The following is a 25,839-nucleotide window of genomic DNA, read 5'->3' as shown; positions in this document are numbered from 1 at the left end:
CCTACCTTTTCTCCCAGGGAAAATCATCCACATGAAGAAAACCTAAATCCCTAATGGGAGTCAATATCTAAAGAGAAACTGTGTGCAACCTGAGACCGAGGCTTGATAGGGCAACCAGGAAAAAGGAATGTCATTGGCTTGGGTCCCCACCATTTGTGTGTTTGTTTTTTTTGAGACAGAGTTTCACTCTGTCGACCAGGCTGGAGTACAGTGGTGCGACCATAGCTCACTGAAGTCTCAAACTCTTGGGCTCGAGTGATCCTCCCAACTTAGCCTCCCAAGCAGCTGAGACTAAAGATGTTTGCCACCATGACGGGTGCTTTGTTTTGTTTTTGTACAGACGGGGTCTCACTGTGTTGCTCAGGCTGATCTCAAACTCCTGATCCTCCCACCTCAGCCTTCCAAAGTGCTGAGATCACGGGCCTGAGTCACCATGCCCTGCCCCACAAGTCTTCATAAAGCAGCACACCAGGAAAGGAAAAACCAAAGGCAACAATGGAACCAGGTATAGCACCTGGCACGAGGCCTGGCACAGTGCAGTTGCTTCATGAGTATTTATTGAATACATGAACTTGAAAGTCCATTGCTAGCCCTAAAATGCTACACTCTTACGATGAAGCAGTGACACATGCTACACCATGGATGAACCTTGAAAACATTATATTAACCAAAAAAAAAAAAAAAAATGCTAGCCACAAAAGGGCAAATACTGTTTAATTCCGCTTATACGAAATACCTAGAATAGGCTAATTCGTAGAGACAGAAAGTAGCTAGTAGTTGCCAGGGGCTGAAGGGCAAGAGGAATGGGGAGTTATGGTTTAATGGGGAAGAGTTTCAGTCTGGGATGATAGGAAAGTTCTGGAGATGGATGATGGTGATGGTGGCATAACGTTGTGAATGTACTTAATGCCAATGAATTGTACACTTAAAAATGGTCAAAATTGTAAGTTTTGTGTATAATTTAACACAATAAAAAACTGTCAAATGGGGCCAGGCACGGTGGCTCACGCCTGTAATCCCAGCACTTTGGGAGGCCGAGGCGAGTGGATCACTTCAGGTCAGGAGTTCAAGACCAGCCTGGCCAAAATGGTGAAACCCTGTCTCTACTAAAACTACAAAAATTAGCCAGGCATGGTGGCAGGTGCCTGTAATCCCAGCTACTTGAGAGGCTGAGGCAGGAGAATTGCTTGAACCTGGGAGGCAGAAGTTGCAGTGAGCCGAGATCGCGCCATTGCACTCCAGCCTGGGTGACAGAGTGAGACTCTGTCTCAAAAGGAAAACAAAAACAAAAACTGTCAAATGATGTTGGGAGCACTCTGCTCCGGATGGATTTTTTTTTTTAATATTATTCTTTTTAGAGATGGGGTCTCCCCATGTTGCCCAGGCTGATCTCAAACTCCTGGGCTCAAGCAGTCGTCCCACCTCAGCCTCCCAAAGTGCTGGGATTTCAGGTGAGCCACCACGCCTGGCCCCAGGATGGATTTTCTAAAAGATGAAGGGGTACAATGCCATGACTTGTTGTGTTTGAGGGCAGCAGAAACTGGAGAAACGGTGCTGCCAGATCAGGCTTAGAAAAATAAACAACACAACCCAACTTTGCTTCAAACCAAAGAGATTTTAATGGCTCTTGTTTCTTCCCCAGGGCCCTAATAGGGGTGGTCTCGCACATGCTCCATGATTGCCTTCAAGCCAAGCCAGGTCTCCTCGGCTGTGGGCAGGATCTGACGGGCTGGCAAGAGGAAGCCGTAGCGCCCTGTGTCTCTCAGTTCAAAGGCAAATGAGTACTTGATGCCATAATCATAGGACCAGTCAATGCTTCCTCCACTGGCTTGGTCTGAAGTGCAAACGAGAATAAAGTTTGGTTACACGACTACCACTAGCCTTCACGCAATGGAACCTCTATATTAAATTCTACTATCATAGGTAAGCCAGGCCCCTAGGTGTGAACTGTAAGAGGGGGGAGAGTTTAGTAGAGGGTCACATTTATGAAAAAACACAATAATTTGAAAAGCAAAAGGTGTTATTCAGCGGACACTGAACTGAGCCTTCCTTCAGTGCTCTTAGGAGCCCACGCCATCCTAAGTGGCCTCTTCTCCACCTTAGGTAGGCCACACCACTTCCTTCTTTAGAAGGCACAGACATGGTTTTCTCTAGTGGGAGTGGAGGGATTACAAATGCAGTAAGAGATTTGGTCCCTACCCTCAGGGGACTTTGAGCATTAAGGGTGGAGCACTCTCTGCTCTGCTATCAAATTGCAGGTACAGCACCTCTGTGTGGTGGGTTCAGCCAACACAGTAATGTGCACCTGAGATCTGTGTGGCCGCTGATGTGACAGATGAAGAAGGAAGATGGCATTAACTTACAAGTCAGTCATGACTCAGAAAAGCCGAGCAATGGACCGGCCCTGTGGCCCCTCCCAGGAAGGGCAGTTAGAGGTCACAGGAGGACTCGGCTGAGGCACAGATGTCGGAAGCTACCTAGTCCCTAAGAATGGGGCTGGAAAGACCAGGGAGGTTGTACCAGAAAAGAGTAGGGCTAGAGGTTAATATTGTGAATTAATATTGTCAACGCCCATGATTTTTGTCTTTGCCTTCACCCAGCAGAGCAGCTTGGAAATTAATGCCTGGTAAATAATAAATACTAAATGGTTGCTGATTTGAACTGAATCTTCCCTGGACCAAAATTACCAACTCATACCTTTTGGTGTGTCTACATGACACAGCCAATCACACTAAGAGGTCAACTGTAGACAGAATACTGGTCTCAGATAGAATCCCAACCCTACAAATCATTATCTGAGTGACCTAAAGCAAGTCATCTATTTCCAGATGCTTCACCTGTCACATAGGGATGATATTACTACTTGTTTCACAGGGGAGTGAGAATTAAATGGCATAATGGTTGTGATGACACTATTGGCTGTGTCAATGTGCTAGGCACTATGTTAAACTGGTTGTGAATCTCTAGGTAGGTACTAGCATTATTCCCATTTTACAGATGAGGAAACTGAGATTAAGAGATTAAGTGGCAAGGCATCGTGGATCTCTGCCAACACTTTGGGGACCAAGGCAGGAGGATCACTTGAGCCCAGGAGTTTGAGACCAGCCTGGGCAACATAGCGAGACCCTGTCGCTACAAAAAAATTTTTTAAAAAATGAACTAGATGTGGTGGCACATGCCTGTGGTCCCAGCTACTCAGGAGGCTGAGGCGGGAGGGCTGCTGGAGCACAGGAGGTCCAGGCTACAGTGAGCCATGATCCTGTCACTGTATTCCAGCCTGGGCAGCAGAGTGAGACCCTGTCTCTAAAAAACTAAATAAAATAATAAAATAAAAACAGGGATATTAAGTGAAGGAGCTAGGATAATGTATGTAGAATAAGCATTCAATAAATGTCAGTTATGTTTGTAACTATCATTGTCAATAAATGACCAGGATCCAATAAAAAAAAGTTAGGCCACGTTAAGGACTGGAGTTATCTGTGGGAGAGCATTCACCAGGAAACTAACAATCAACGTTTACATAGTGCTGTAGAATTAGGGAACACTTGTATTCCACATAATAGCTTTTGAGCCTCTCAACAACCTATTCCACAGATATAAGAAACCAAGGGAGAATAAGTGACTGGACCATGGCTACTTGGTTCCAAAGTGGCAGTGCTATAACTCAAACCCAGGGCTCTGTACCCAAGCTATGTGGGTTTTTTTGTTTTGTTTTGTTTTTTGGTTTTTGTTTTGCCCCCCTATGCCTCTCTGAGAAAGAATTCAAAGAATAACTAACTTCTGGGCCAGGTGTGGTGGCTCATTCCTATAATCTCAGCACTTAGGGAGGCCAAGGTGGGTGAATCACCTGAGGTTAGGAGTTCAAGACCAGCCCGGCCAACATGGTGAAACCCCATCTCTACTAAAAATACAAAAATTAGCCAGGCATGATGGCATGCACCTGTAATCCCGGCTACTCAGGGGGCTGAGGCAGGAGAACTGCTTGAACCCGGGAGGTGGAGGTTGCAGTGAGCCAAGATCGCCCCATTGCACTCCAGCCTAGTGACAGAGCAAGACTCTGTTTCAAAAAAAAAAAAATTTTTTTTTAAAAAAAGAACAACTTCTGAACCAAACACCTACTGTAGCACAGCTCCTCAAAGCCCTTTCCAGATGGGAAGCTGCCCAGGAAATATCTCACCCACTACAACCATACAGCCATCTCTTGGGTGGAGTGAGGCAGGTGTTCTGCCCAGAGCTGCATACTGACCTGGGGCAGGAAGCAAAAAGTGCTGAGTTAAAACTAGTCCTTAGAGGTAGAGCTTGTCCAAGCTGGAATGAGGCCAGGATAAGAGTCAGCTGTGGACAATGATGTGGCTAGAACTTGGTGGGCCATTCACAGTCGGGCTCCAAAAGATCATACAGCAAATCCTACACCTGCTTATTGGAAATCTCTTCCATTTCTGTGACCTCACCAAAGAAAACATACCAAACCTCAGCCTTCCAAGGTCTATCTTACTAGTAAATACCTCCAGATAAGGTGGATGAAAAGCTAGATTCCTTGTAATAAAATGGCTGAGACCTATGTAGGGGTCTCGGGGATACACAATGCTATTCGGCTGACACTCTGAACTCAAGCCTCCACTCAAAGGCTGCCAAGCAAAAGCATTCATTCCTCAGTATTAAGCTGCCATCATGTCTCAAGCTAGGTCCATCCTCTGTCCCCACTGCCACCACTCAGAAGGCCCTTCTCCCTGGGGGTATCCCTGATGAAAGTGAGGACAATCTCATGTGGAACATGGTTAAAAAAGTCTCAGCAACTGTGAGCAGATCAGTCTTCCCAGAGAACCGCCTAAAAAATATGTAACAAGAGGCCGGGCACGGTGCCTCATGCCTGTAATCCCAGCACTTTGGGAGGCCAAAGAGGGCAGATTACAAGGTCAGGAGTTTGAGACCAGCCTGACCAACATAGTGAAACCCTGCCTCTACTAAAAATACAAAAATTAGCCAGGCGTGGTGGCACGTGCCTGTAATCCCAGCTACTCAGGAGGCTGAGGCAGGAGAACTGCTTGAACCCAGGAGGCGGAGGTTACAGTGAGCCAAGATCACGCCACTGCACTCCAGCTCGGGCGACAGAGCAAGACTCCATCTCAAAAAAAAAAAAAAAGCAACATGAGCGCCAAAGCTGTTCATTCCATTTAACTTGACAATCTTGCCTCAGGAATATATTCCAAAAAGATCATCTAAGAGAAAAAGGAGTTGGTACAAACATGTTTATAGTAGCACTGTTTAGCATAAAGATGAAACAATCCAAAGATTCAATAACTGGGATATAGCAACATCATGGAATAACAAAAAACTAGAATGTAAATTCATAAAACTTTACAGGAAATGATGTTAATTTTTTTTTTTTTTTTTTTTTTTTGAGACGGAGTCTCGCTCTGTCGCCCAGGCCGGACTGCGGACTGCAGTGGCGCAATCTCGGCTCACTGCAAGCTCCGCTTCCCGGGTTCACGCCATTCTCCTGCCTCAGCCTCCCGAGTAGCTGGGACTACAGGCGCCCGCCACAGCGCCTGGCTAATTTTTTGTATTTTTAGTAGAGACGGGGTTTCACCTTGTTAGCCAGGATGGTCTCAATCTCCTGACCTCATGATCCACGCGCCTCGGCCTCCCAAAGTGCTGGGATTACAGGCGTGAGCCACCGCGCCCGGCCGAAATGATGTTAATTTTAAAAAGCTGAACATACCAGTAATCCCAGCACTTTGGGAGGCCGAGGTGGGTGGATCGCTTGAGGCCAGGAGTTCAACACCAGCCTGGCCAACATGGCAAAACCCCATCTATACTAAAAATACAAAAATTAGCCTCACGTGGTGGCACACACCTGTAATCTCAGCTACTTGGGAATCTGAGGCAGGAGAATCTCTTGAAGCCAGGAGGCGGAGGTGGCAGTGAGCCAAGATTGCGCCACTGCACTCCAGCCTGGGTGACAGAGCGAGACTCTGTCTCAAAAAAAGAAAATCATGACTAGCACGGGTGCATTCCCGTGATTCCCGCCATCACCCCTCCTATGGCTGTGGCTATATCCATGCCCACAACACATTCAAAGACATGCTCCTCTCATTCCATCCTGAGCCACAGCTTCTGCCCACCTCTGCTCGTCCTCCTGTCCCCAGCTCTGGAACCTCACTGCACTGGTCATTTCTTCTCTCTCCTGTATGTTCCACCTCTCCCTCTTTATTTGCTCTTTCCCACAGTCAATAAATATATCTCTTATCTCAAAAAGAAAAAAGGCTTCCATTCTGCTCTCCTTCCCTTATCCACTCTTCTGAAACTGCTCTGGGTTAAGGTCACCAATAAGCTAGTGATGAAAATTCACTGGAAAATGTCTTGTCCTTATCTTAGTTGACTTTTCATGGCCTTCACCATTGTTGACCGCTGCCTCCTTTTTATTTTTTTCTTTTTCTTTTTTTTTTTTGAGACGGAGTCTCGCTGTCGCCCAGGCTGGAGTGCAGTGGCACGATCTTGGCTCACTGCAGGCTCCACCCCCCGGGGTTCACGCCATTCTCCTGCCTCAGCCTGTAGCTGGGACTACAGGCGCCCGCCACCTCGCCTGGCTAATTTTTTGTATTTTTAGTAGAGACAGGGTTTCACTGTGTTAGCCAGGATGGTCTTGATCTCCTGACCTCGTGATCCACCCGCCTCAGCCTCCCAAAGTGCTGGGATTACAGGCGTGAGCCACCGCGCCCGGCCTGCCTCCTTTTTAATAATTACTTCTCCCCTGGTTTCTGACATCCAGGGTTCTCTGCCTTTCTGCCCAGCCCTTGCTGCTAACCCCTTCTGCTGCCTAACACCTTGCTCCCTGCTTTGCCCAGGGTTCCTCTCACTCCAAATGTTCCCCCTGCTCTACTGGTCCAACCACCCACTCTATGCCAACTCTTCCCAAATCTCTCTCTGCACAGAATCCCAGGGCATGTAGTCCAAAACCTACAGACCATCTCCATTTGAATACCCTACAAGGAGCTCAGCCTCAATATGTCCACAGCTGAACTCATTATCTTTGCAACCTCACCCCTCTTTCACCTTCCTGGACTTCTCCCTCAGTGAGTGGCACCAATGACTTTCAGTGAGGACCTCTCCCCATCCAATAAATGACAAAGCTTCTTGGCTTTATCTCCTAAATCTCTTCCATCGTCACTGGACCTGCTGTAGTTTGGGCCATTGTCTCTCACCTGAACTCCTCCTCCTCTTCCTATGGGATGTCTCTACTGCAGTCCCTCATCACTCCATCCACACTGCTGCTATGTTTTAGCTAAACACAATGCCTCAATTCCCTCACCGTCCTGCTGAAAACCCCCCGATGGCTTTTAGAATCCTCTGGATTAAACCTAAACTCCTTACCACGGCACACAAAACCCTGAACTTCCCCAACTCCCTTTTCTTCCTCTTTCATTTCAGCGATCTCAACCTACTTGTAGCTCCCAGAACCCATCACGCAATTTTATACTTCTATGCCTTTGCATATGCTGTTGGCTATGAGAATGCCCCATCCTTTTTCTCCTTCTCTAGCTACCTGGCAACCAGTCTTTACAACCCTACCCTCCTCTTACATGAAGTTTTTCCTGACTCCACTTCCATCGGATCCCCCGACTTTCTAATACTTCTGTACCATGTATAGCCTACTATTGCACACATCATACAAAAGTTCATTTGCCTTCCTGTTCATCTCTTCTATTAAAGAGTTCTGTGTGGGCACATTATGTCTCCAGTGCTTGGCATAATGCTTAACATATAATAGATACTTAATTTAAAAGTCTGTTAGAATGGGTGGCCAGGCATGGTGGCTCACGTCTGTAATCCCGGCACTTTAGGAGACAGAGGCAGACAGATCACTTGAGGTCAGGAATTCGAGACCAGTCTGGCCAATGTGGTGAAACCCTCTCTCTACTAAAAATACAAATAAATAAATAAATAAATAAGCTGGGTGTGGTAGCGGGCACCTGTAATCCCAGCTACTCCAGAGGCTGAGGCACAAGAATCCCTTGAACCTGGGAGTTGGAGATTGTAATGAGCCAAGATGGTGCTACTGCACTCCAACCTGGGTGACAGAGCAAAACTCCATCTCCAAAAAAAAAAGAAAAACAGAATGGGTGCCTATTAAAGGCATTGGTTTCCAAAGGATCCTTGGGCATGGAAGCACTAGGGAACTCCTGGGCATGGAACTGTGTGGTCCTGAGTTTCCAGCTTTGTCCATAAGGAAAGGAGCGTGCCTTTGAAGGATTCAGAACCTGCACAAGGGTGCACTGGGATTTCCCAAAGCACTGTAGTAGTTTCTTGTTTTTATCTCAATCAACTAGGGAAGAGGAGGGCCTAGAACGTCTGACGGCAGGCTCCCCAGACTTATTCCTCACACTGCCGCTATTCCTGACTTCTCCTTCTCCATCTCCACATACTCTGCATCAACACATGGCTGCAGCAGAGTCTATCCACGGAACCACCTGGGTCCTCTTCAAGAGTCACACCCATTCTGCCCCCGCAGTCCATGGAATTCTCAGGGCATGAACCCCTCTTAGCCTGGAAAGGGAAGATAATAAAAGAGCCAGGTCTTAGGCCAGGCACAGCGGCTCGTGCCTGTAATCCTAGCACTTTGGGAGGCCGAGGTGGGCAGATCACCTGAGGTCAGAAGTTCGAGACCAGCCTGACCAATGTAGTGAAACTCCGTCTCTATTAAAAATACAAAAATTAGCTGGGCATGGTGGCACACACCTGTAGTCCCAGCTACTTGGGAGGCTGAGACAGGAGAAGTGCTTGAACCCAGGAGGTAGAGGTTGCAGTGAGCTGAGATCAAGCCACTGCATTCCAGCCTGGGCAACAGAGTGAGACTCCATCTCAAAAAAAAGAAAAAGAAAAAAAAAACAAAGAGCCAGGTCTTGATAAAGGCTTATTTTTAGATAAACAAATTCTACAGAATGAGAGTGAGCTGTAAGGATCTGAACAAGCACAGGAGAGGGCACAAAACATATACTTAGGGAGTTCTTTGTTCTGGCCATCACACAGTAAGTATCTCATGGAGGAGACTAGATTCACTGAGGGAAATTGGGGAAGGTTGGGTTCCATGCATGAAGACCTATCCCTTTCAATAAAGGTATTTAAAAGTTTTGGCTCAAACTCACACGGTGCCTGCCATCTTAGTGGGTCATTTGTAAAAACTTCCAGCACATTGGATACTTACAGATGACAGAGCAGATTGGTCCCACTTTGTACTTGGTGCCATGCAGGCTTCTCAGAGATTGGGCAGCCTTTTGGGCCACTTCACTCTAGAGTAAGAGAACCAAAGAAAGGTAGACAGATAACACTTGTCTCTTGGGAGATCAGTTGCCCGACAGCAGAACATAGAATGCTCTAACTAGACTGTCTAGTTAATTGAGGTGAAGGCACAACACCCTTTTTATTTGAACCATTTTCACTGTGAAGTAAGCTTACTTCTCCAATAGAAGTAAGTTCACTTCTATTGGCTTTGAAAATACAACGTGAAGGTCCTCATTGTCTATTTGATCATCCTGGTGTTTGCAACACTCAAGGATTCATTATTTTGCCACCAGTTCTCTTTGTTCAGGAGTGTGGCTAAAATTAGGGTAGATTTAAGGGGTCTAAAGAGAATGTGGACTGACCCCAGGACATATGTGGGAAGTTGACTTTTCTTTTACTAGATCCCTACATTGGCTTATTTCCCTATGGCTGTCTCTTTTTCCAAAAAGTAGAGCTCAGAAAAATATTTTCCATTATTTGAGGGTTCCAATTTTGACTGATTGAGGCTTTACTGTCCTTGTCAGGGATAAATGTAAGGTCTTGAACTTGGGTCCAGGAAAACAACTGTACAATTACCAGATGGGGGAAACCTGGCTTGGTAGAATCCTTGGAGAGCCTGGGGGTTACTCTTGTCAATGAGCCCAACATGAGTCAACATCACAGGGCTACTGCCAAAAAACTAATGTGATCCTCAACTGAATGTGCAGAAGTGCACGGTCTGGCTGAGGGTAGTTATGGTCACACCCTGCTCTGTGCTGGGTAACCCACAATACTGATTTCACATTCACTTCTGGGAGCTACCTGCTATAGTTTGGATATGTATTCCCCTCAAGCCTCATGTTGAAATCTGATCCCCAAGATTGGCGGTGAGGCCTAATGGGAGGTGTCTGGATCATGGGAATAGATCCCTCATGAATGGCTTGGTGCAGTCCTCACAGTTAGGAGTGAGTACTTGCTCTATTAATTCTCTCGAAAGCTGGTTGTTAAAGAGTCCGGCACCTCCCGACTCTCTCTCTTGCTTCCTCCCTCACCGTGTGATCTCTGCACACGCCAGCTCCCATTTGCCTTCCATGAGTGGGAAGCAGCCTGAAGCTCTCACCAGATGCCCAATCTTCCAGCCAGCAGAATCATAATCCAAATAAAACTTTTTCCTTAATAAATTACCTAGTCTTAGGTATTTCTTTACAGCAATGCAAACAGATTAAGACACTACCCTTGAAGAAGCATATTCAGAAAACAGCGACCAGAATAGTAAGGGAACTTGGGCCCATAATATGAATGCTTGAAGGAACTGAGGTTATTTAGGAGTAAGAGCTAGGAGAAGCAGGCTGGTGGTCTTCAAGTAATTAGTGGATTCACCTCTCAAAGGGAAATAAACTTGCTCAGTAGAACCAGATGATAAACCAGGGCTGATAGGTGAAAACCATACAAAGATTTCGCTCTCTATAAAGAAGAACACTAACAACCTTCCCCAACACAGAATAGGCTCCCCTGAAGGCAGGAAGCCATCTAATCATAGCCTAGATTGACTATCTGCTAGAGGTTTGAGCACAGGTTTAGATAATTTAAGGTCATCTAGGTCTAAAAAAAGAACATTTTAGAACATTCTTTTTCCCTGATATGACCTTGAATGGTAATACTGACCATCAAAACCTCACAGCGCTCAAATCTAACTGATGAGATGAAAGGCATACTTGAATTGGAATAATCTAATCTATTTCTGCATGAGGCTGCTGACAATAATCTACTTGAAGGTAAATTGACAAAAAGGTCCCAACTCTGGGCTTATTTCTAACATATGGGTTTCATAAACCAAGCCTAAAAGCCAAATTAGAAATAATTTGCACATTCTTTTTAGCTGGGGATAGCTCTTGCTCAGTTGTGAACAGCCTCCTGAGATGTCACCATCTGATCTAAGGCTGGGGCCAGTTGGCTTATTCCTGAAACAGGAAGGGTGACAGAAGGTATCAAGTTAGGGAAGTGAGTGTTTTACCCCCAACATCATACACCAGTGCATCGTCATGGTAGATCACAGAGCCAAAGATCCCAGAAAAGTATAAGACAAGTTGCTGAGAAGCAGAATTGCTCAGCTTGGAGCATTTGACTACCAATCCAAAAGCCTCATATCCAAATCCAAGGGTTTTTTCCCCCATATGCAACAGAAAAGCATGTTCTGGGAATTTATGCTCAAACCAGGCTCCTGCTCATCTAGACTAAGGTAACAATAACTTCATGAATTCTATTTCCCAAAGAAACTTAATATAGGAAAGTTCAAAATCAGTCTTTCAAACCTTTGGCTGCATCATAATCTTCTCGGTGGTTGAACTTATGTTTCATTCATTGCTGTAATGGTACACCTCCACCTTAGGGCATGACTTTATGCCTGAAACTTACTTGACCACACAATGGATGTTTGTTGCTTGGCTGAAATTAAGTTTCAGAAACTCACCAGCTCATCAAAGTCATCTAACTTGGTACATTTGTACCCATAGGGGAACATCAGCAGCTGGGAATAGCTGTGGAGGGTAATGAAGGCCTTGACTTTTCCATGACTCTTGATGAAGTCCACTATGGATTTCACTTCAACTTCAGAGTTGGCACTGGGTCCGTGGTATGAATCAGAGCAAGGGTTGCTGCTGGCTCCAGGTCCTGGGGAGATGCAGAAGTAGCCCAGTGAGGACAGTGAGCTCTAAGAAGACACTGTAGGGAGGAGGTCACCATGCATCACTAATTTTCTCCTCTGGAAGTCGGGGCAAGATTGTCATTGTGTTAGATCAAGTCTCTTCCAAAGGTTATAGTCAGAAAGCCTAACTGAAGTGATTCTGGACACATCTCTTCTTCAAAAAATATGGTTCCTCTATACAGTAGAAAGAGCCATCTAATTAGATCATCTCCTCTCTGTAGGAGTTATTGGAAGAAAAGCTAGATTTAATATTATGGATGGAATTCCTGCATTGGGTGGGAGTTTAGCAAGTTCATTTTCTGGGATCTCATCCAATTCTTAGAGTCCAACAGTAGAAGATTCTATGCATCTGTAATTCCAAGGCACAAAGCCAGAAATGCAAGGAACCTCTGACACCCTTTCTGCAATGAGGAAATCATGACTACATTTGACAACAAGGCCACCTTTGGCCTTGATTTTCTCAGCAACTAGAGTGGCTCAAGACCACTGAAATGGGTCCATTGTAGGCCTGGCCAGGGCTCTCACTGCTAGAGAAACTTCCAGGGGATGAGTAGGGGTCAGGATTCCCTAGGCTCCCCATGTGATACAGACAAAACGTCACCTTATTTTAAAATTATTTAATGAAAATAATATCGGGGGGATTGACATTGAACTGTGGGCCATTGCTCAGTATTGTGCTTTAATTATTTTTCCACTACACTAAAAAAAAAAGAAGAAGAATTGTCAAAGCAATGAATGAAGTTGCCACTCATCCATATCCTGTAGCAGTTCTCTACAGTCCTGTCTTAGTTCCATAACTCTAATTAATTAATTTGTCTTACAAATACATAGTGATTACCTTCTGCGTTGCAGACACTGTGCTAGGTGTTAGGAATACTACAGTGAAAAAGACACAGCTCCTGACCTCAATTTTATCATAGCCTAGTGAGGGGGAAAAAATTTAATTCTATGGTTACTGAAACATAAGGGGTTTTCACCAGTACCTGAGGCCATAAAGGAGCCCCTAACTAGCCTGACACGGAACTCCAAAACATAAGCGCTGTCACAAAGCCAGGGCAGCAAGCTCACATTTTATATTTGAATCTGTTTTGAAAGTCAGTTTCTCCATCCTGTGTGTATGTACTTCTTTTTAGTTTTCTTTCTCGAAGCATCCATAGATGATGTAATGCTTCTCCTTGGAATAGATCCTATCCCCCTCTAGTGGCTGGCTCAGGGCTTCCCGAGTCCTCCCGCCACTGTGCAAAGTCTTGCTCCCGCTGCACAGAAGGCTAACCGGGCGACAGCTTGTGGGAAAACCAAGATGTGAGACAAAATATATTAAATGCTGCTCAGAGCTCTGTGACAGCACTGTGCTCCTGTGAAGGGAATTTAGTTAAGTGTTTTTCAAAGAGGTTTTTAAATGGCTTAAATCCTGGATGGGCTTAGCCAGCTGATGCACTGCAGGGCCATTTGAACCAGCTTGTGGGCCAGACCACGGGCTGACCATCCCTGGGGGCAAGTCCCTGCGCTCACCTCCAAAACCTGCATCCCAGTTCCGGTTAGGATCCACACCAACACAGAGGCTTCCAGATACCTTGGACCGGGTCTTCCGCCACATACGATTCTTTCAGATCCCACCCAAAAAGCACATGGAAAAAAAGAAAGAGGGTCATTCAGCCTGATCAGAAGGTTCCTTTAGAATTCTGTCAATTTCCCTAGTTCTCTGGGACACTCCTTTCCCTTGGCTTGGGGAGGTGTTGGACAGTCCTCATACAGGTTCTGCTAGGAGTTTCTCTGCCATCTCACCAAAGTGAGACATGAATACGCCCCCATCTCCTCAAATGAACGCCTGCCAAACACGTGCCATGGAACCCTAGTTCTGTCCAAGGCCAACAGCAAGAACCAAAAGCAGAAGAGAGGGTTCTGCAATGAGCCTATTTGGGGAAAATATGGAGCTAACTTGGTAAACTTACTTCAGAACTTCTAAGGATTGTTAATGCCTTGTTTTTTATAAACCTCTAAGAAACGGATACGGTGGGCGGTGTTTCCTGGTCTTGACAATGGAACCCTTGATTCATATGGTATCTCATGGGATGAGTACTAGTATTAGTATCAGTTTCTTTGAAAATGTCTTTGAAAACGCTACCGTAGTTAGCTCTTTCTAAAAATAAACTTGAAGCTGTCATTCATCTTGAATATATGTGGGGTCATGGTTGCTACAATAGTGTATTGTAATGAGATTTTAAGGGAAAAAAAAAACCATGTAACTCTTTTAAGTGATATTATGGAGGATTTCTCCCACAGATTTTAAGTAAAATGCTAGATGTACTGTACTGCCCACCTAAATCCTACTGCAATCTAATTGTCAGCAGGTAACATCCGCCTCCTCTTTTCTATCAATCCTACCACAAAAAATTGCAGAGATAATTGGAACAAATCTCCTAGATGACTCATGGTGAACACTGAGCTCTAATAGCCCAGCCTAACAGCTGAAATGGGCTCTGGCTGAGGCAACATATAAAGACATCATGTGTTGGAATAAGAAGTGATTATAACCACTTCTCTAACCCTCATTTCCGGGTGACTACTGAGAAATTAGACATTCCATTTAGAGTAAATCAAGAAAAGAATGAGTATTTTTATTTTGCTTTTGAAGTTCCTACACATCTCCTTAGGTCCTTGTTGAAGAAGGGAACAAAATCCAGGCTTACTTTGGTTTGAGAGAACACGTATCCATCAGGGTTTGTGACTGGCAGGAGGAAGATATCCAGGGCATCCAGAATGGAAGTGATGGATGGGTCCTTTCCATAATCAGAAACAATCTGAGCAAAGACAAGATACATGTCAACCTCACACACCGCTTTTGTTGGGAACACAGGACAGAATAGTAAGGTAGTGTTTTTTCCAGATGTGAACCAGGGATCACTATTGATCAAGGAAAGTCTTCTAGGCATCCAGCAGTCCGGTCTCCTGCAATGTTAATGTGTTGAATATGCTAGCGTCTATACTTTTATTTCTAATCAGAATAATTTACTTCTATTGAGTAAAAATCAGATATCATATATCTACTCTTTCAAAAGCAGTAACATTCTTCCTATCCATCCCAGTGAGACATTTTGCAATAGTGAGCAGTGATATATGTGACTTATGTGGACCTATGCACCAAAGAAATTTTGTTTGGTATTCCTTAATCCCTACATGAGATAACTTTCCAAAAGAACTCACAACAAACATCAGATTACTTAAATATGCAGAGACATTGCTAAAGACACAGAGAACAAGTTAAATTCCATTTGGGGAATTACATTTTTACTTGCCATTAACCGCAGTTGAGTTGAAGTTTCTGCTGGATTAAAATTTATTCATTTCCTGTGCTCAGCCATCCTAAGGCATTATTATTCAACTGTTAAATATCCATTTCATAATACCCTAAAGGTAACCGCATTTTAATTGAAGGGAAAAATGTATCAGTCGGTATGCACGTGGTTGCACATGCTTGAATGATCTGATGTGGATTGATTTCCTCTGCTCGTGAATTAACATTCTGATTTATAGCATGTCATTTTTGAATTACCTAAGAAATACCAGACTAGGTCATACCCAGCCCCATTTCCTGACTCTAATGCCAACAAACTTGTGGAAGAGAGATCTTACTACACCCTACCTTCAAAATCAAATTTGGGAAATTTTCAGAACAACCCAAACACCCTTAGCCAACTCCACTTTGGATCTGTGGGTTAACTCTTCTTGCGCCTGTTTGTATTTTCCAGGTGACCCCCTTTCATGATTTTATAAATTTCTAGCATATCACACCTCAGCCCTCAGGGTTCCAGGCAGCAAAGTGATTTTTCTCTAGTCGGTTCTTTTGCTGAAATCTGGCTCCCAAGGGTCCTCCCTGGCCACCCGTTCAATCTCTTTAGCTTACTGAGTCTTTTTTTTTTTCCCCTCTCTCTCACTCAACAGCAATCATCACATCGCTGTGCCTTTTAACACAGCGCACAGTGGCCTGCCCAAGGGGAGGAGCCTGGGGTGCTGGATGGGGCAATACCAAAAAAGTCTGGATGGGTTGACTGCCAGCCCGTGTGACAAGAGAAGGGTTTTGTCTGAGAGCGCCAGCCATCAGGACCACTGGGACTGTCATGGATTTTGGTGGGCCTGACCCCAGAAAGGCAAAATAAGCAAGGAATATTAGGCAAAATGACCTTATTTGCTGTCCAAAGTGCCGTAGCTTGTGTAACCCACTCTCGAGCATGGATCCCAGCATCCAGCCAGATAGCTGGCTTGTCTCCTCCGGTGCTGAACTGCAAAAGCAAGTGTGGCAATGTGAACGGCTCCACTGCCGTGGCACCTGGTTGCCTCCTTTCTACCCTAGACCATCCTTCTCTGTCCCTCTCTCTATTCTTGATGTGATTGACAGAGAAGGAAATACAGACAGTGATGCTGTCGACTAACTCTCATTTAAGGAGAATTTTCTTTTGTCCCCTTCTTCGAATGCAAGTGTAAACACAGACTGAGGGGCATAGACAATTCTCCTCTGATGTTTGTAAAAAATCGTTGTAGATGATGACATGAAAATATCTTCATATGCTGAAAATTGGAAAAAAATGGATTACAAGATTTCATTTTTATTTTTAAAGAAACTAGTTCATTTATACATACACATACATATGAGAAAAAAGGAAAAGGAGAAGGAGGAAGAGAGAAAAGGAAAAAGAAAAGAGAGAAAAAAGTAGAAAAATATACAACAGATTGTTAATAGCTATTATCCTATAGTTGTGGAATTAGAATTATGAGGATTTTTTTTTCTTTTTTCTTTTCTCTATTTTCCAAATGTATGCAATAATAGTGTTTTGTTATAAAAATGCTTGTGATAACCTTTTGAGACCTTCATAAAAACAGGATAGCAAGCCTCCGGAGGTACTTTCCAGAGTTTAAATTTTATGATCTAAGTGACTTAGTTTTATTTGAAACAGTGGCTTTGCCAATTGGATCAGTAAATGGAGAGGAAAAGATTATTTTTGCACCATCAACTTCTATCTCTGTGCAGCATTCTAAACACAGCAGATAAGGTAAATGAGAAATGCAAATCCTTGCTAAAAATTACAGTTCATGGGTTCTAGGAGTTTTAGTTAAAAGTGTTTTGTGCCTTTTCCTCCAAAGAGCTCAAATGTAAAAAGCAGGGAACTTTCAAAAACACAACATCCTCCACCGCCGAACCACGCAGGAAAAGGGAAGGCCAGGGAAGACCAAGGTGGAAGAGAATCTGGGGTTTTCTGATCCAACTCGGCGCGGGGAGGGGGGGTGCGGGTAGACGAAATAAAAAGAAAGAAGGGAGGTAAACATTAGCAAATGTATCCTAGTGGTATAAAGTAGGCAAATCACTCCTCTCAGGCCTGCTTTGGGAAAAACGCTCTGGAGAAATCCATCTGTCCCAGTTAGTCAGTTGGTTCCCAGCCATAACGTTTCCAAATTTAGCGAGGAGTTGTGACATTACCTCTTTTTGGTTTTTTTTTCTCTTAAAAAACTCTTTCTAGGAAATCTGGGGAAATAATTTTCACTGTTTTTGAGGACAAAGTGCAAAGCTTGAAATTATGTGCACAAAGACTTCAGAGGTTACGAGATGGCGTAAAACCCTAACCTTTTTTCATCTATATCCTTTTTCAAAAGATCTTCGTTCAGGGCGTTTGTCTTTGCGGTTTAGGGTTTAGTTGTCCATCATCCTTCTGCATACGACCAGAACTCTTCTTTAAAAAACAAAAAAAAAAAAAAAAAAGAAAAAGAAAAAAATGCAGCTTAGGCAATTAGTGCTTTTTCTTTTTTAACTGGTGTGCGTGTGTGTGTGCGCGTGTATGTGTGTGTGTGTGTGTGTGTTTAAAGAGGAAAGAAAAAAAAGAGAAGGGGAGGGGAGGCAGAGAACTCCCAGCTTGAATTACAGCCCCCAGCCCCCAACCTCCCCCGGCCCGCACCTCCCCCTTCCTCGGCTCCTATTGGCGCATTTGCCCCGGTTCCCCAGGAGCTCATCTCTCAGGACGTGAGCATTAATTCACTCCTGCAGACCTGCGTCAGCTTGCTCAGGAACAGAGAGAAAGAAAAAGAAGGGGGCGGGGGTGGGGGAGTGGATACTCAAAACCAGCAAGGACCGGTTAGGAGGAAAAGAAAAAAAAAGTAATAAAAAGGAGCCTCTCTGTAGCACAAGCTGGGACTGCCGGCTAGCCTGGGAGGAGGGAGATTCTAGAAACATCGAGAGGAAGAACCGTCCCTGCACCGTGTACCTTGAGCACGTTCATAGGCCGGTTCTCAAAAGAAGAGCCAATATTCACTTTGCTCACTAGACCAGGGTGCTCAGCCACGAGGTTATCCATTTCTTGGGAAATCTGAAATGTTTCAAGTGAATAAATAGACATTTGCGAGTGAACCATCTGTTGCATGAGATCTGATCCCCTGGTGATTTTCCCCATTCCCTTGGGACACAGCGGAGGGGGCAGCGCGGCCCGAGCTGTAGGGTCGGAGGGTTTGGATCCAGCTGAGTGCTGCTGAGTCCGACGGTGTCTGCAGGGGCTGCAGCCCAGCCGGCTCTTTGCAGTTTTGTGCAAAGCAAAATGGCACACTTCCCTGAGGTACTTGTGGCTTTTGGCGACCCCAGCCCTGAGGTGGGGTTTCTCGCCCTTGTTAGCAGAGGAACACAAATGGTAGTGCCCCCTCAACCCCAAAATGGATGTAGAGGCGATCGCTACAAAATGTCTCCCGGCTAAATCAGGCCCAGGGACAATGGGGTTTCTGCTGCAGACGCACTAAGGCCACCGGCTACTCCAGCTCCTATTTTCAAGGCGATTGAAATTTTGTGCATCTGGAGAACCCAAGCTGTGTCCATTGCTGGGATTGAGACGTGTCCGGGCGCGTCTGGAGAGCTAGCGGGAGGAAGTCAGTCCCTCCAGCTGTTGCCAGTATTTGCACTCTGTAGGAGACAGACATCAGTTTGTCTGGGAGAGCGGGAGGGCATCTTGTTTGCTTCACTTCCTTTTCTTTCTTATTCTCTGTGCTGGTCCACAGTCCCCTATCTGAAACCCTTGAGGCCATATATATTTCAAATAAGATATTTTTTTCAGGGGAGAATTTTAGAAGGGTAATAGGAAGTATATATTATTACACACGGGACATTGCTCCGTATTCAAGCACATTAATATTATTTCTGGCAGTGAAACAAATGAGCAGTGAGGCAATTCAGGTCAGATTTTGCTCCCAAATGAGTTTAGGTTAAATCAGGTTTTTCCATCACATAAATTAGGAGAAAAAAATGTTTAAAGCTTTTTGCATTTAAAAACTGCCAACTTGGAGACTTGGTGCCTACCAGATACCTCTTCTCTGGCTCTTTCGTACTCCCCATGCCACCCCTTGGCCCTACAACCTCCATCCCCTCCGGCCCCTTTCCATCCCTCGACTCTTAAGTCAGTGCAGATAGATTCCCGTGGGCCTGGAGAAGAGCTCTGTGCCACAGAAGTAAATGCAGCACTGCCCAGGATCCCCACAGCAGCATGGAGTAGCAGATGCAGGAAGGGGATAGTCTCCACAGAAACAACAAAGCCCAAGAAAGACAGCAGAGACTTCATGAGGCTTTGCTGCCATGAGGTCTTAGAGAGCACATCCCTGTGAGGCAGAAGAATAGGGTCTGGAGGCAGGGAACCCAAGGCCAATTCAGGCTGACTCCCTAGAACTAAATCAAAAAGAAAACTCCAACTTTCCACGCCCAAGTAACAAAAGGACCAGAGGCTACTCCCTTTGCACCAACCCCCGCTTCTTGGCACGGCAGATGAAAAATTGAAAGTACCTCTGATTGGTCCCCTCCTGCAACCAATCAGATTGGTTGCAAGCCAAGTCTTCATTTGCATAGGAGTATAATTTTGTAACTTCACTTCAGCCTCTGACTGGCCACCTTCTGCAACCAATCACACTGATCGCAGGCTACTGCTTCATTTACGTAGGGTGTACACCAAGTAACCAATGGGAAACCTCTAAAGAGTATTTAAATCCCAGAAAATTCTGTAATGGGCTCTTGGGCCCCTATGCTCGGGCTGCTCCCAACCTGTGGAGTGTACTTTTGTTTTCAATAAATATATGCTTTTGTTGCTTCATTCCTTCCTTGTTTTGTTTGTGCGTTTTGTCCAATTATTTGTTCAAGACGCCAAGAACCTGGACACCCTCCACCAGTAACACTTGGATGGAAGTCAGAGGCGTCAAGGTGGTCCCTGATTCCATCATCAGTGGCAGCCCGGAAGCACATCTCTCACCTGGCTCTGTGCCCCGATTGCATCGTCAGTGGCAGCCATGATGGCTTCCCTGGCTTTGTGGGCAGCACAGGTCAGAAGTCAGTAAGGGGGCTTAGGGCAAGAGCACCAGCCTGAGGGAGCTGCTTGTGGGTACCCTTTAGACACTCCACAGTGGGTGGCTGTTGAGATGGGCAAGTGGACTTCAGGCCCTACATGAAGCAGGAGTAGGTGTGAAGCCAGTGATACTGGTACTGGCTGTGAAATCCTAAGGAAACTTGGAGAAGTTAGAAAATAATAGAATAATTTCTAGGCCATTAAATCACCACGTGGAAGTATGAGCTTTGTCCTTAGAGGAGAGAATGGCCCGTCTCCGTGATGTTCATTTTGAAACACCTACCTCTTCCAGGGTATGGTAGGCCCCAAAATTGAAGTTACCACTCCGTTCTCTTCTCCTATTAAAAAGCATTTCTTCATTCTCTTTGTCCAACAGGACCTAAGATAAAACAATTCTATCTATGACTGGTTTACAGCAATGCATTTCAGTCTGTAATTGTGAAGGAAAGGGTAACACTCGGGTCCCCAGTACCAAGCTTTCCTCTTCTTGTCCTGTAGGCTTTGAGGTCATGACTTTCCCTTATTCTGGCCCCACTGTGAAAGGGGATGGAGCATTCATGGGACTTCCTACCAGCCAGATGCTGCAGGTGTGCCAGGGTAGGTTTGCAGGCACAGTCTTATGGCTCATCCTACCTTTCTGGGAGCTCAGGGCCTGTGTTAAGAGTTAACCTCTAAACAAAAACTAAATCAGGCCAGAGTCGGTGGCTCACACCTGTAATCCCAGCACTTTGGGAGGCCGAGGCGGGCAGATCACTTGAGGCCAGGAGTTTGAGATCAGCCTGGGCAACACAGTGAAACCCCACCTCTACTAAAAATACAAAAACTAGCTGGGCGTGATGGTGCATGCCTGTAGTCCCAGCTACTGGAGAGGCTGAGGCTGGAGAATCGCTTGAGCCTGGGAGACAGAGGTTGCAGTGAGCCAAGATCGTGCCACTGCACTCCAGCCTGGGCAACAGAATGAGAGTCCTTCTCCTCCTTCTTCTGCCTAACATCCTTTGGTTTGCACTTTATATTTCATGCTGTAGGCTGTCTTTTGCCCTTTCCCTTAAATTCTTTGTTACCATATTCTGCATGTGCCAAATGCAAAAGAGAGAGAGACAGTGCCCTCCTACCCACCTTGCAAGGGGAGCCCAGACTGCTGGAAGGTCCTAGTGGCACCCACAGGTCCCTTCCCTGCAGAGAGTACTCAAGCATAAAAGAAGATGGAACTGAGCTGACGTTCATGTGGCCCAGCAAGCTGCAGGAAGGCGAGTCCATGGCATAATTACCTGCACGTCTTCAATCATGATGGAATAGGCAATTCCCTGGGACTCCAAGAACACTTTGACTGCCTGGACGTTGACGAAGGGAACTCGGACGTGGGCTGTCTCCCCTGGGGTGGTGGGTGATTTCCAAAAATCAAGCTGAAAGGGATAAAAGTCCAAGCCAAGGAAATGAATGGGCTGTTCTGGGGAATGGACAGTTCAGCACTGATAGATTTCTAGGAATCAATTTGCATCCACTTTATCTTGAGCCCACAAGTTTTGGAATCATTGTGGAATCACTATGATATTGCAACAAGGGCTTTTAAATATCCATGTGTCAGCAAATCCATTATATTGTTTCCCCTGCCCCTATGGCTAGATATTAAAACTGGCAGAAGGAAAAGATTATTAAAACGATGGCAGTTTTTTTAAGCTGGGATTCTAGCAATCCAATTCATTTAATAATGGGATATAAATGCTATAAATTATTTTATAAGGGAAATATGCACTAAAGGTGTTTAATTTTTGAAAGTAACTTTCACATTTGATATCTCTTCTCATTCTTACAATAAACCTGAGAGATAGAAGAACGGCATATTTATCGCCATTACTCTGAGTGAGAAAATGAGACACAGGGAAGGTAGGTGGCTTGCCCAATGTCCTGTAGTTGGGACTAGAGCCCAGGTTTTCAGAACCCCAGCTGCATGAGTTAGCATTTCACACTATGTCATGGGAGTCAGAATACAGTCGAAAATAGAGCTCAATCATGTTTAACTGTATTCATTCTGGGAACAGCAACTCCCACTAGATCAAATACCTGGAGATGTTCTTGAGCCTCCAATTGTAGCAGATTTTTAATTTGTTCTTCATTGCTTGGTACAATCTCAAGAACTTGGTCTCTAAAGAAAATTAACCACAAATATGACCTTAAAAGCAAAACCTGGACACTGTTTCCTGTTGCTTTCTGCACCTGTTAGTCTCTGCGTATAACAGATTAATGCAACAGTCAATAATCTCTGTGACAATCCAGAAACTAATAAATAGTATACTAAACCCACATCGCCAGAATGAGAAGGTGATAGAATGGCGTTATTTCCTCCCAGGAAATGTTATCTAAATAATAATGAATAGGTGTACCTGCTCCTAGCAGGAAGCCTGCCATTAAAGTTACCTTTCCCATAGCTAATGAGTCAAATAAAACCTGCTGCTTGTGGAGTGTTATAGCTTTTAATACTTGCCTGTTCCTGTTGTTCAGAAGTAAGTTTTTAAAAAGTGGAATAATTTGGTGCTTGTAAGAGGAAACAATTCATATGTGGGTAGTCCTAAGATTTTGTTTTTAATGGTTTTGGGGGTTTTGTTTGTTCTTTGATTTTGTCAACTGAAAATGTATCAAGGTTCCATCCCCAGACCCCATTCATGGGGCCCAAACATGGGGCATGGCCAGAGATAGTTGGGACCCTGACAAATTATGTGCCGTGCCTCTCTTTACAAACACACACACACACACACACACACACACACACACACACACCCCCTTAATAGGGAATGAAGGATGAACAGGAAAGAGAAATCTCAAAACAATCAAGCACATCTCTTTAGGAAGAGTTCCCTTGGTGACAGAGTTTCCCCTTCTAGCCTTTCTCCACGTAGGCAGACTTCCTAAGTCACTGCCCCAACTGTTTGTGCAGTGGGGAAGGAATCAATACAATGAGCCATGTACAGGGACCAGAATATGGGTCTTCTGAAACCAAGCTCCATGCAATTTCCTACGAACTCCAGTGGAATACAGAAGTGATGGAATGTGAGCTCTTCGAGGCTCACCTGCCACAAATGGTCTGAAAATTCTTCCATTTAAGTCTCATTATTTTCGGTTAATGCATGGACTCCCAGGAGTCCTCCTTTAAAATGGGAAGGCACTGAGAAAAGTAATACAACAGGGTCATATTTCCTGGTGTGTGTTCTAAAGAATAGTAGTTCTTTGAGTTACTCAGTGAAAGAAAGAAAGAAAGAAAGAAAGAAAGAAAGAAAGAAAGAAAGAAAGAAAGAAAGAAAGAGAAAGAAAGAAAGAAAGAGAAAGAGAAAGAAAGAAAGGGCAAGCTGGGAGCAGTAGGTAGTTTATGATTAAAAAAAAGAGTACATGCTGCAACCTAGATCCCCTCTTATAGATTTATAATGCACACTGATTTAGCCAAGGCTCCTAGAAATCCTATAGTTTGTTTAATCCTCTGATTCCCACATTTATTTGACCAGTGGCTTTTTGGGACCAAACTTATTTGATTGCTTTCTTAGCTCCCTGGACCACTCTTCAAAAAATGCTGCCTGAAACCCTTCATAGAATCATGAAGCAAAGTACTTTGGAGCAAAGATGAGTCCTCCAAAGCCAGGAGAGGAGGAGTTGAGCTGAAATCTATAGCCCTGGCCTTTCTACTTCATGAGGTTCCACCACCTAGGTGCTGAATCTAAAGATCGGGGGTTAGGGCACAAGGGCTAACGTGGATGGTAAAGCCCAGAAGAGCAGGAGGAGGTGGGAGAGTAGCATTGACACCCGCTGAGTTGCCTGGAACAAATGGCCACACAGCTGTATTTTCCCTGATGTCTATCATCCCTACAGTCTGATCACTGGAGGGAAAAATGAGTAAGGACAGAGAGAAATAGGGTTATGTGTGTTCAGTTTTCACTTTTGTCTTTTCCTTTAAATGTCATTCACCTCCTTTTTGATCATCCACTCCTTTTTTTCACACTATTGACTTATCCCCAAATCTAAGAGAACTTCTCTGAAAACACTGAACACTTATACCCATTTACTCTGTAACAATCAAAGCCTCCATCAATCAGGTAAGTAAAATTCAAAGAAGCACCAGAAAGCATAACTTACCCCACAAATGTTTCTAGACAGTAGATATGCCCAAAAAGGGCACCAAAAAACAGGATCAACCTCATGGCCATGGGTTTTCCTGGAGTCCAGAATTCAGAGTCCTTCCTGAACTTTATTTGTAGGGATGGCAGCTGAGGGTGATCTGCTGGCCTTCTGAGAACTCACGTGAATTCCCACATGGGAAAATTCCCACCTGCATGTGAAATTCTCAAGGTTGTAGACATCCACCTGTGTGATATCACCAATGTGTACATGTTCCATTCCTAGGATAAGATAACAAACTTTGATGGAAAGAGAACAAAATTGCTAGAGCATACCAAGGGCAATATAGTTATGATTGAGACCATAAAACGCCACTAGCTACCCTGTGATAGAAGCCAGATTAATAGACCTAGAGGTTAAAGTCTTTTCTGGGTCTCTGACACACACACAAAAAAAAGGCCAGAGCATTTATAGTAATTACTCAGGCATCCTGTCTATCACATTCCATTAGTTTGCTCATTTGTTTATTTTTATAATGTTTACCTTGAAACACTGCAGTCACTCAGTCCACATCTGCTGAGTGTCCCTGTAGATGTGGCCCATTCCAATCCTCACTCTACATTAAAACAAAACAGAAGGCCTTTTAATATTCAATTTTGCACTTTCTCGAAAGTGATCCATCTGCATTTGCACCAAATTGATATCCCTCTTTCTGTGCTTTTTCCCAAAATGAAAATGTCTTTCTGATGACATTTCCTATAACAAGCAACAATGAAGTTGCTTGTTATAAAAAGTGTGAATTAAAAGAAAGTGTTTTCTTTAACCATCAATAATTCTTCCATCCAAAGAAAACCATTTGGCATATGTCTTTCCAAATTTCTTTCTCTGCTTTCGAGTTTTTTTCTTAAACAAAGATTAGACCATATCACGTATACTGTTCTTTAAACAAAGGTGATCTTTTCTTGTTCATAAACATAGATCTACATTAATCTGACTTTGTTCTTCATTGCTTAAGAAGAAAATATAACTGCTTATTTTTAGAAACCATAGTTTATTTAATTTTAGTTGTTCATACACGTTATATTAAGCCTAGAAAGCCTCAACCACAACAAGCAGCAAGGAAATTTTCGTCTGTCCTTTGTGTGTCAAATTTATCAGCACACACTTTAAATCTCTGGGTTTGCATTCTCAAATATCTGCTTTAAGGGGAAAGGTATATACACAGTGTTTCTGATTTTAAGAATGACTGGATTAACTTGGTTTTTCATTCTCCTGGGAGTCAGAGAGAAGACAGAAACCAAAAGGCAGAGGCCATAATTCATCCTCATGTCTCCAGCACCTATCAAATAAACAGTAGTTCAATAAACTGGAAGTATGTACTTGGAGAATCAATAAAAGCTTCCTGGAAAAAATCAA

The 25,839-nt window shown here is 44.3% G+C and overlaps 1 protein-coding gene across 1 annotated transcript, besides 3 other annotated features; it reads right to left on the bottom strand.

The window, feature by feature from the left end:
• Positions 1,596-24,531, bottom strand: CPA2 (carboxypeptidase A2). Its single transcript, NM_001869.3, has 11 exons — positions 24,442-24,531; positions 22,384-22,465; positions 21,591-21,725; positions 20,606-20,701; positions 18,217-18,318; positions 16,147-16,245; positions 14,656-14,766; positions 13,478-13,568; positions 11,732-11,931; positions 9,206-9,290; positions 1,596-1,834 (listed from the first exon to the last, which is right to left on the bottom strand). The coding sequence occupies exons 1-11, from the start codon at positions 24,510-24,512 to the stop codon at positions 1,647-1,649; spliced, it is 1,260 nt and encodes a 419-aa protein (NP_001860.2). The 5' UTR covers positions 24,513-24,531; the 3' UTR covers positions 1,596-1,646.
• Positions 13,031-13,325: an enhancer, noted in NCBI's record as "tiled region #5425; K562 Activating DNase matched - State 12:CtcfO, and HepG2 Activating non-DNase unmatched - State 13:Ctcf". NCBI's record gives its function as "activates a minimal TATA promoter and a strong SV40 promoter by Sharpr-MPRA in K562 cells, with weaker activation in HepG2 cells {active_cell/tissue: HepG2 | K562}" and the evidence as "EXISTENCE:reporter gene assay evidence [ECO:0000049][PMID:27701403]".
• Positions 17,762-18,413: an enhancer, noted in NCBI's record as "OCT4-NANOG-H3K27ac-H3K4me1 hESC enhancer chr7:129912821-129913472 (GRCh37/hg19 assembly coordinates)". NCBI's record gives its function as "activates a minimal SCP1, AML or CMV promoter by ChIP-STARR-seq in primed H9 embryonic stem cells {active_cell/tissue: H9 hESC(primed)}" and the evidence as "EXISTENCE:reporter gene assay evidence [ECO:0000049][PMID:30033119]".
• Positions 18,414-19,066: an enhancer, noted in NCBI's record as "NANOG-H3K27ac-H3K4me1 hESC enhancer chr7:129912168-129912820 (GRCh37/hg19 assembly coordinates)". NCBI's record gives its function as "activates a minimal SCP1, AML or CMV promoter by ChIP-STARR-seq in primed H9 embryonic stem cells {active_cell/tissue: H9 hESC(primed)}" and the evidence as "EXISTENCE:reporter gene assay evidence [ECO:0000049][PMID:30033119]".
• Positions 24,532-25,839: the final 1,308 nt, after the last annotated feature.

This window comes from Homo sapiens, chromosome 7 (genome assembly GCF_000001405.40).
Source record: "Homo sapiens chromosome 7, GRCh38.p14 Primary Assembly".
NCBI classification, from domain to species: Eukaryota; Metazoa; Chordata; class Mammalia; order Primates; family Hominidae; genus Homo; species Homo sapiens.
This window is presented reverse-complemented; position numbering and strand designations above follow the sequence as displayed.